The sequence below is a fragment of the Homo sapiens genome, chromosome 7 (assembly GCF_000001405.40).
Source record: "Homo sapiens chromosome 7, GRCh38.p14 Primary Assembly".
NCBI classification, from domain to species: Eukaryota; Metazoa; Chordata; class Mammalia; order Primates; family Hominidae; genus Homo; species Homo sapiens.
The window spans coordinates 51,707,119-51,718,006 of record NC_000007.14 but is presented as its reverse complement, the minus strand read 5'-3'; the positions used below and the strand labels follow the sequence as shown (position 1 = coordinate 51,718,006).

The window sequence follows — 10,888 nt, the reverse complement described above, 5'->3', positions numbered from 1 at the left end:
TGGAACTTGAGAGTCATAATATGGAAGGAAATGGAGAGGTACCTTTTCCCTCCCCCTCAGGCAGGGCTCCAATGCTGAGTCCTGCAGGGGAAGAGGTGCCCTTTGTCAGGACCACTCAAACTGGCCAGATGGCCTCTGTGCCCAAGGGTGGTGACTAATACTAATCAGGGTTCTCTAGAGGGACAGAACTAATAGGATACAGATAGAGATACAGATAGATATAGATATAGATATAGATATAAATATAGATGCAGATATAGATATAGATAAAGGGGAGTTTATTAAGTATTAACTCACCTGATCACAAGGTTCCACAACAGGCTGTCTGCAAGCAGAGGAGCAAGAAGAGCCAGTCTGAGTCCCAGAACTGAAGAATGTGGAGTCCGATGTTTGAGGGCAGGAAGCATCCAGCATGGGAGAAAGATGTAAGTTAGGAGGCTAGGCCCCTCTTTCCTTTTCACGTTTTTCTACCTGCTTTATATTCGCTGGCAGCTGATTAGATTGTGCCCACCAGATTAAGGGTGGATCTGCCTTCCCCCGCCCACTGACTCAAATGTTAATTTCTTTTGGCAACACCCTCACAGACACACTCAGGATCAATACTTTGTATCCTTCAATCCAATCAAGTTGACACTCAGTATTAACCATCACAGTGGTGTTTGACTTTCTGCATGTCATCCCCAGGAGATTGCCAGCCCTCTGCCCCCTAACATCTTTGCACAAAGATTAGGCTGGGCACAGTGGCTCATGCCTGCAATCCCAATGACTTGGAAGATCAAGGTGGGATGACTGCTTAAGGCCAAGAGTTCAAGACCCACCTGGGCAACATAGCAAAACCCTATCTCTACAAAATGTTTTTTTTTTTTTTAATTATCTGGGCATGGGGCACACACCTGTACTCTTAGCTACTTGGGAAGCTGAGACAGGAGGATTGCTTGAAGCCAGGAGTTCGAGGTTGCAGTGAGCCACATTAATGCCACAGAACTCCAGTCTGGACAACAGAGTGAGACCCTGTCTCTAAGAAAAAAAAAATTAAATTGGCAAGATAATATGTTCTCTGTTCTGGATTTTTTTAAAGAGACTCTCTTGCTATGTTGCCCAGGCTGCAGTGTGGCTATTCACAGGTACAATTCCTCTACTGATCAGCATGAAAGTTTTGACATGCTCCATTTCTGACCTGGGCTGCTTCACTCCTCCTTAGACAACCTGTTGGTCCCTCACTCCCAGGAGGTCACTGTATTGATGTGGAACTTAGTGTGGACACCTCATGGTCACAGTGCATGACAGCCCAGAACTCCTGGGCTCAAGCAATCCTCCCACTGGACTATGTGCACCCACCACTGCCCCGGGGGTGTTCTGGGATTTTTTTTAAAAAGAGAATCTTAACTTATAATTTACTTTTTAAAAAGTGAACGTTTGTAGTAGAAAAATCTTTGGTGATTGCAATCAACAAATATTCAAAGTCAATAATTTTAATTAATTTTTTAAACCTCAAATTTTCTGTCTCATTGAGGGGAAAGATTATACAATAGTATTTTACAAGGAATGTTGTACTTGCAATCATAGACTCTAAGCTGGAATTATGGTTCTGTCTCTTCTCTTCTGTGTGACCTAGAGTATAGGTTTCTTAACCTCATCTGTAATTTGGAGATAATTATTCATCCTTACCTAGTATTTAAAAACTAAAAACTATATAAATAAAAAGTGTTATCCTAGAGAGTGAAAGGATAGGCATAAAATAAACTGCTTTTTGCCTCTTCAGTATTCACAGTACTGAAAACATATATCTGAGGTACTTGCATAAAAGCACATACTTTAAATGAATATGCACAGTGTTGACTATGGAGATTATATGATCACTGAACTTCAGAGCTCAAGAAGGCCAGAAAAGTGATGTTTTCAAATACTTACAGTAATTAAGATCCCTATTGAAGAAGAATCTGGATCAGTTTTCACTTTTCTTTTTCAAGAAATGACAGATATGGTATGCAAAATATTTGATTTCTTTAAAAATAATGGAAACTTTAGGTGAATAGACTCTAGCTAGATGCAGATTTCTTAGCCAGAATCTGTGAGCAAATTACTCAGTGGTTGACAAATAAGACTAAACCTGGGACCAATGTCAGGTGACACAAACCAGTGATGTTGCATTTATCTTGATTGAAGTTTAGAATCATAGGAAAAGATGTATTCCTGGAGGCTCCCTGTCTAAAATAAAGCCATGGGGAGAGTTGTGGAAAATAATCCATACCCAGATTATAAGAACTAAGGATCCATTATTGAAAACAACTCACACAGGCAGAAATAAGTTACTGGCTGGAGGCAGTCAGTATATGCAAAATATTTTAGGGTAACCAACACAGATTCTGGTAGAAAAATTGTGGAGGGATAGAATGGAGTGATGGTGAGACTATTCACTAATAAAGCAAGACCAGTGTTTAGATGAATAGAGCTCCAGAGATTTTAGTTTCTTGGGGCAAAGTACAATATATACAAAATTAAGAAGTTAGAATTCTTTGCCAAATAGCTAAGTTTTTTAGTTTCTCATACTTTTAAACATTGCTTTTTATATCTTCCAATTTAAATAGAAATTTGGATTTATATATATATTAATTGCATTCAAAATAAATGGTGTGGATCTCTTATTTCTTGTTTTAACATGTATAAGATTCTTGGCTATAGAGTCTCCAATATATCACTGTCATTTGGTGCCAGACATACCAAATTTTAGATACCAAGCTCCTGGAGAATTATAATTTCTAGGGATTTTTCCCCATTATTCCACTTATTTCTCTCATCATCTGATACCTGTAAAGCCATCCTCTTTCATAACACTTATGACTTTCTACTGTATGGTACTTCTTTGCTCAACAACCAGACTCATCTAGGCTAGGCACTGAGATATGTGTAAAAGATTCATGGATAAGGACAGCAACGTCTTTCCCTCCCCAACAGCTTGTTGGGGGAGATGAATTTCTAAGCATATAATTAAAATTCCAGGGTAAAGATTACTATTATTTTCAAGATAATGATAAGTACTATGAAATACAGAGGAGAAGAGATAAAACTTTTCATTGTAGGGGGAGTAAAAATCAAAGTTGAGATGATAGCAATTATGCATCATGGTGAAAAATAAGTAGAGTTCATCAGAGCCTGGCAGGAGAAGCTGCACATGAACATAGCTAACACAGTTAAAGGGCATTGCCTGTTTAATCTTGGTAAGCACTGTGGTGTCATTTGAGCTAACTGGGTATTATCAAGAGCAAAAGGCATAAAACAAAGTTGGAAACATAGCTAAGTACAGTGCTAAGAAGACTGGAAATGGTGAGTTAAAAAAAAGGCATTTTAAAGAGAGTATTGATGAAATCAGAATTGTGTTTTTAAAAGATAACCCCTTAAAAGTGTGTAAAGAACGGATTGAGGGATTAATGGCTGGAGAAAAAATAAGCAAAACAGGAAACTATTGCAATAATAAGAGTGAGGTTTAGAGCCATTGGCAATAGTGAAAGAGACAGAATGGATTTGGCAAACATGATGTGTAGAATTGTAAAGAATGGAGGCAGAAAGAAGGTGAGGAAAGCTTCTGCGTTTCTCAAGAGGCAATTTGATGGGGAGTTGTGCTTTACTATCTCCTATGCAAGTCCAGGTCTGGGTAAGGTGAGTTAGATACTCACATTTGATGCACAGATCTATGAGTTAGACACTCACATTGATGCACAATCTAAAGAAGCACTAAAAATCTTAGTTATCAAGAGATATAATATTTTAATGTAATATTCAAAAAAAAATATCAATGTAAAAATCCAATATGAATGTATTAGAGTTTCAGAGAGAAAGAAAGAAAAGAGTTATTATGAAAAACTGGCAGATGATTATGGAGGCTGAAAAGTCCCAGGTTCTGTGGGGTGGGTCTGCCTGCAAGCTGGAGACCTCGGAGAGCTATGGTGTAGCTCCAGCCTGTGTCCAAAGGCCCGAAGACCAAGACATCTGATGGTGTAAGTTCTAGTCTAAAGGCTGGCAGGCTAACTACCCACGGATAACCAATGTTTTAGTTCAGATCTGAAGGCAGGAAAAGTGCTGATGTTCCAATCTGAGGCTATTAGGCAAGAGGAATGTCCTCTCACTTGGGGAAGGTCAGTCTTTTTGTACTACTCAGGCTTTCAAGCAATTGGATGAAGCGCACCCACATTAGAGAGAGCAATCTTCTGTACTTAGTCTACTAATTTAAACGTTAATCTCATCCCAAAACACCCCCAGAGAAGCACCCAGAATAGTATTTAGACAAATACCTGGGCACTTTGTGGCCCAGTTAAGTTAAGTTAAGATGGCCCATAAAACCAGTCATCATAATAAACAAAATATAAAAAAATTTTAAATAAAGCCTGGCTCAGTATTATTGATTTTCTTTTTGTCTCAGACTCCTATTTGGCTTGGCATGGCACTGCTCTTATGTCTTATAATATCTCCTACTTGGCACAATGTCACTTGAAGTGCCATTCCCCCAAGATTTGCAATGTGCCCTGTAAGGGTTCAATAAGTGTAGCTTTCAATGTTCCAAGAAAGGGTTCAATAAGTGTACATTTAACAAAGTAATGCAAGCCACTGTGTGTGGGAAAGAAAGATTTTTCCACCACAAGATAAATTTAATAGCAAACTCAGAATGCCTTTAAATATTCTTTAGGATGTATCATACAAAAATACATTTATGCTTTGTGGTTAATTTTTAACTCACAGTACTGGGTTTGGAAATGAGTGGAAGCTAATTATTTTCTTCTGTTTTCTATGGGTGTCATTTCAATAGCTGTAACCACGGGAATGGCAGTCTAGGATAATGGAAACAGAGTCTCGTCAGAATATTGCACATCCTATTGCATGTAAAAGAATGTTATACTGCTCCATAAATTAGAAAAGTAAGGTTCAAGGAGTTTAATTAGCTTAGTCTTGGCTGCATGCTTAGTAGGCAGTGGAAACATTACATGGCCATAGTTCTGTCCCACTCCCAACCTGATGATGTTTCCATTACTACCTCTGGGATAATCTTCTCAAATATGCCAAATACCCAGCATTGTTTTCTTGAAAAGTACATGTATTTACTTTCAAGAAGTCTAACACAGTAAACAACTAATTTCTAATTTTGATTTGCATACCTACACCAAAATGCAATAGAAGTTATGATTTTAAAATATACATCTGAATGCAAACCAAGTTCTTTTCCCAATAAATTAAATGTTACCAGATGTCAGCTTAAAATAACCAACTCTTCAATAGCATTGTTCCAATCAGGAAAAGGAACCATAGCAACATAATTATCAACTTACACAGTTCCTCACCCCTCCATTTTGATTCTGAAAGGCAATTTGGTTGAATTACTTGTTTATGTATTTTTTGCAACCTGGCTTTCTGTTCACATTAGCTTCTTATTCAAGTCAAATACCTCTTCCCCCAACCACATATATTCTGATGTGAAATCTAAACATCAAATCTGTCCTCTCAGTCCTTCCTCACATCTTTGACTGCTGACAGTCATCTCGTTAAGTGTTGACTCTTCACATGTAAATATGGAGACATAAATGTGTCAATTTAAAATTCTGGAATATCAACTGACATGTTTTCCTGCAGTATTTCCTGTTACCCTGTAGTAATGCCAACTTGGGAACTAGACCGTGAGGCATCCATTGCTTCCAGGAAATGCTTTTCCAAAATGGATGGTAAAGAACTGAATAAAACAGACAAATACTGGCTTTGAAGTTTTAAAACTTGAGGTCCAGGCATGAGACACAAAGGTCTGGATGTGACCCCTGCAAACCTGCCAGGGACTGACAAGGAGTGAGAATGCTGCAAAGGATTTCAGCTTAGAAAAGAGAGACAACGTCCCTATGCCCCAAGAAGGAACAACTGCCTAGAACCTAATGCCCTCAGCTGAAAGGCTGCGGCAGATGCCAGGAATGAGCCGTTACCAGACTTTACCCAATTAACTGAAATTACATCACCCGTACTAGTGGAAAGGGATTCAAAGTATTTTGAAACTAAATACGGAACAAATAAAGCTGCTTTTATTATATACCTAAACATATCTAACCTTATAACCTAGTATTTGAATCTCTAATAGTTAATACCCCTACTGTCGTTATGAAGATAAGTGAGATAAAAACTAAGGCTTCTTTAATTCTTGGGTGTCCACAATTCTGTCTCCCACTGTAGTTTATATTCACAACTGAAACTACCTCTTTATTAGCTGACTCATAACCCTTATACAGTGGCCAGAGTCACATTTCTAAAGTACACTAACTTATGCCTATCTTCCTTAAAATCATTCAAGGTAAAGAAAAATACTTAATTCCTGTCCCACTTCATGTCCTCATACTTGCCCATGTGCTGAGCAAGCTTCAAGACACTGAAATTCTTGCCATTGTCCTAATCCACAATTTCACACCTAGCTGCCTTTGTCAATCTCTTCTCTGTCTTCCTGCAGCACAAGCACACAGAAATCCCTCATTTACCCAGTGACTTTCTTCCATGTCTTATCATTTATCTCAAATATCATCTCCCATAAGAGTCAATGAAGAAAACCCCTTCCTCCAGGATGGACCTTAATCAGTGTCCCTGTGCTATCCTAGGATCAATGCTGTCTTCAATTATAAACTCTAAAACATTGTGTTGCTGGGGTTTTTTTTATTACTTTAATGACTCCTTTGCCAGATGATAAGCCTCATAAACATAAAGGACAAAATGTTAGCTATTCTTTTTTTACTTATTTTTATTTTTATAGACTTAAGGGGTACAGGTACAGTTGTGTTACATGAATGTATTGCACACTGGTGATGACTGGGCATTACCTCTACTTTTTGTTTTAGGCAAGTTACTGGGGTTAGAACAGATCACCTTAATCCCATCAGGGGTGCCTTGGCCTGAGGTCAGTTTTCAGACTTTTAAAGGCTCAACCTACCTCTCTTTCATCCCTGCTTCTAAGGTATAGTCCTCCAGGGGTCCCATGGTGTGGGGTTTGTACCAATGAACTTCTTCCCTGAGTTGGTCCTGAAACATAATTTTGCCTTTTAGAACCATGAGATTTTCAAAAGCTCCAGTTAGATGTTTTGCAGCCATCTGCTCAGTTTCTTAAATGTTTACCCACTGTAGATTAATAATCAGCAAATCTATATACAAGAAACAAGTTCAGAAGGTATCAAATTTACTCCTAATAAATATAAGAAAAATACATGTGAAAATTAGATTTAGATCCAATTCTCATTCATCAAATCAGTAAAACTTCCTGATGTTTGACAAAACTCATGATGAAGCTATGATGAAACAGGCATAGTCATATATTGTATAATATAATAAGTCTTATAGAGTATATTTTGGCAGTATCTATAAAAATCTCTCCCTCTCTCTCCCTCTCTCTCCCTCTCTCTCTCTCTCTCTCACACACACACACACACACACACACAAACACACCACAGAAACACTTTGAACCAGAAATCCACCTTCTAGGAATCTACCCAGATGGTATATTCTGTAAATATGAAGCATTATATGAACAAGGTCATGTTCTGTGTCACAGTTTACAAAGCAGAAGACAGGAAACAACTCAAATACCTTTAGTTAAGGAACTGCTTGTATATGTGGTATATTCACACAATGACATATCACTCAGCTGTAAGAAAAAATGAGCAAAATTTCTATGTATTGAAATAGAGATAGTCCCAGACTGTATTTTAAAGTGCACAGCAGTGATTATTGAATCCTTTCAGTGTTGTAGTAGAAATAAAAGTACAAATACACCTAGTGATGTATTTTTGCAAAAAGAAATTCTGGGTAAATGAAGAAGGAAATAGCATGGGAGTCAAAGTGGGGTGGAGGGTAAAGGGATGGGAATGAAACTTCTCTGAGTGTCTGAGTGTACCTTGTTTTGAATGCAATATTTTATGTGATCAAAAAATCACTTTAGATCAAAACGGAAAAAAGAAAACTAAAAAATTAAAAAAAGAACTGAAACAAATGAGTCTACATCTATGAACTTGGTAATATAATCACATAGAAAATAATTATTTCAAGCTGTTGTGTAACAGAATGCTCTGACTGCATATGTATACATTCTTAGAGGGATCTATTCAGGATACAAGGAAACGTGCAAAGAAAGCAAAGCCTCTTTTGGTGATTTTAATAGTAGCATTAATATTATAATTTTTAAAATATGCATATTGTGATGATTATGTAAAAATGGCAATTTGTGAAATACCCAGATTTTTCAGTGTAAGAAGGAGACAATATCAAAGAAATTCCACAAAATATACTACTTGGTTAAATTTTAATTGGAAATATGAATATGTATATATTATTTTTCTCACATAAATTATATATATGTATTTGTATATATATCATATATATATATATACATACACATATTTCCTAGCTCCATACAATGAACGTGGAAGCAATGTCATCCCAATATCAATCAATTCAGATCTTGGCTTCTAAATAATATTCCTTACTAACAGGAATCAAGCAAGAGAATTACAAGATAAACTTTGGATATTTTGGACCAGAAATCAAAGAAATGCTCCAAGAAACAAGTAAGTCCAAAGGATAATTTATTATCACCTACCTTCTCATATAACACAAAAGGCAATTGATAGCATGAACAATACAATTTTCTTGCCAAAAATATGTGATTTGAGTCTAATAAGGTCTTTAGGTTTAATTTCAAGTTTCTGGAAAATAAAGGAGATACAAGAAAAAAATAAATTACAGTCCAGGTAATTTACATACACAAAGAAAATAAAGCATATACAGCAAAATTTTAATAATTGTTGAAGCTAGATGGTAAGTAAATGGGTGTTTGTTTTATTATTTCTTCAACTTTTCTGCAGTTTTGAAACATTTTATAATAAACACTTGGAAAAAAAATTTCCTCCCATTGATTCTGTCTCACTGTAACTTGTGGTAGAAGCTGCTGGCTACTGCCTATGGGTTGAAAAAGTGAGAGACACACTGTGGCACCACAGATGCATCTGTTCTGACAGCAGAGAACTGGAAGTCCCATAGAGACAACCTTCTCTTTGTTCCAGCCCTGGGTAATCTTTTCACCATCTAGAGCAGGAGTGTCCAATCTTTCGGCTTCCCTGGGCCACCTTGGAAGAAGAATTGTCTTGGGCCACAAATAAAATACACTAATACTAATGACAGCTGATGAGCTAAAAAAAAAAAAATTGCAAAAAAACACCTCATAATGTTTTAAGAAAGTTTATGAATTTGTGTTGGGCCACATTCAGAGCTGTCCTGGGCCACATGAGGCCTACAGTCCATGGGTTGGACAAGCTTGATCTAGAGAGAAAGCATCCCAGCCCATGTTTCTGCATGGCCATGCTTCAATTGATCCTTGTCACTTTCAGGAGAAAAACCCAAACCTGGAACAGAAACACAATTTGGCCACTAGATTATACCTCTTTTCCATGTGGCCACAATCCCTACACCATGCTATAACCAATGGCTAAAATTCTCCCTCCTCCCTGAAATGCCCTGCTCCTCCACACAGTGATGTCTCTGCCCATGCTTGCTAATACGGTGAAAAGTCCTTTCCCATTCCCCAGAGATTATTCCTCTTTAACATTCAAAATTCACGGAGAATGTCTCTGCTTGATTCTGTGTACCTATTAGGTAGCACTGTCATTTGCATTTAACAACAAACTTATCTCTCTACTTTCTGGCATCTAGTATTAGGTCTGGCACATCAATGCCCATTGCTTTAATTCTGTTATATTCAACAAATATTTATCTAGTAGGTGGCAGACAAGCACCAGGCTAACGATTGGTGACTGTCAACAAAAATGAATGAGAAGATGGCCTCAAACCTGGCTCAGAAAATCACACTTGGAATCCTCATTACTGTAACTATAAATCAGAAAGTCAAATGCCTCACCATGGCATTTTGTGAGTACAGCAATGCTTCACTTCTTCAAACACTCACAGTTGCCACATCCATGATTTCTCAACTACATGTGAGATTCATATGCAGATGCCTCAAGTGTGGCAGCAAGCGATGATCTGAAATCAAGGCAATCAGGCAAAAATGGCATTCAGGCCGGGCGCCGTGGCTCCAGCCTGACCAACATGGTGAAACCCCGTCTCTACTAAAAATACAAAAAAATTAGCCAGGCGTGGTGGTGCACGCCTGTAATCCCAGCTACTCAGGAGTCTGAGGAAGGAGAATTGCTTGACCCGGGAGGCAGAGGTTACAGTGAGCTGAGATCGTGCCACTGAACTCCAGCCTGGGCGACAGAGACTGTCAAAAAAAAAAAAAAAAAAAAAAAAAAGAGGCATTCAAAGCCACTGCAATTGAATGTTGCTCTTCCAAAGAAAAGCCTTCCATCTTGTACCAATGCTGATTTGTTCAGATATAATGCTTCCTTTAAGAACACAGAAAATAAAAATGTGCTTATTCAGGGACACGGATGAAGCTGGAAGCCATCATCCTCAGCAAATTAACACAGGAACAGAAAATCAAACACTGCATGTTCTCACTCATAAGTGGGAGTTGAAGAATGAGAACACAGGGACACTGGGAGGGGAGCATCACGCACCAGGGCCTGTCAGGGGCTGGAGGGAAAGGGGAGGGAGAGCATTAGGACAAATACCTAGTGCATGCGGGGCTTAAAACCTAGATGATGGGTTGATAGGTGCAACAAACCACCATGGCACACGTATATCTATGTAACAAACCTGCACATGTATCCCAGAACTTAAAGTAAAGTAAAATATTTTTTTAAATGTGTTTATTATATCAACAAACACAATTGGCACTGAAATTCATAAATGTAACAATTTTTGGTCTTGTTTTTACAGCCATATTCCTTCCTTCCTGAAATGTCTTGGGCATAACAATTTTCAT

At 37.8% G+C, this 10,888-nt stretch overlaps 1 long non-coding RNA gene and 1 pseudogene across 1 annotated transcript; both read right to left on the bottom strand.

The window, feature by feature from the left end:
• Positions 1-338: 338 nt before the first annotated feature.
• LOC105375278 (uncharacterized) lies at positions 339-10,035 on the bottom strand. The gene is made up of 6 exons (XR_001745209.1): positions 9,920-10,035; positions 8,606-8,711; positions 7,597-7,654; positions 6,947-7,035; positions 4,733-4,823; positions 339-367 (listed from the first exon to the last, which is right to left on the bottom strand). It is a non-coding gene; the product is annotated as an uncharacterized LOC105375278 (long non-coding RNA).
• On the bottom strand, positions 1,085-1,350 carry RN7SL292P (RNA, 7SL, cytoplasmic 292, pseudogene; annotated as a pseudogene).
• Positions 10,036-10,888: the final 853 nt, after the last annotated feature.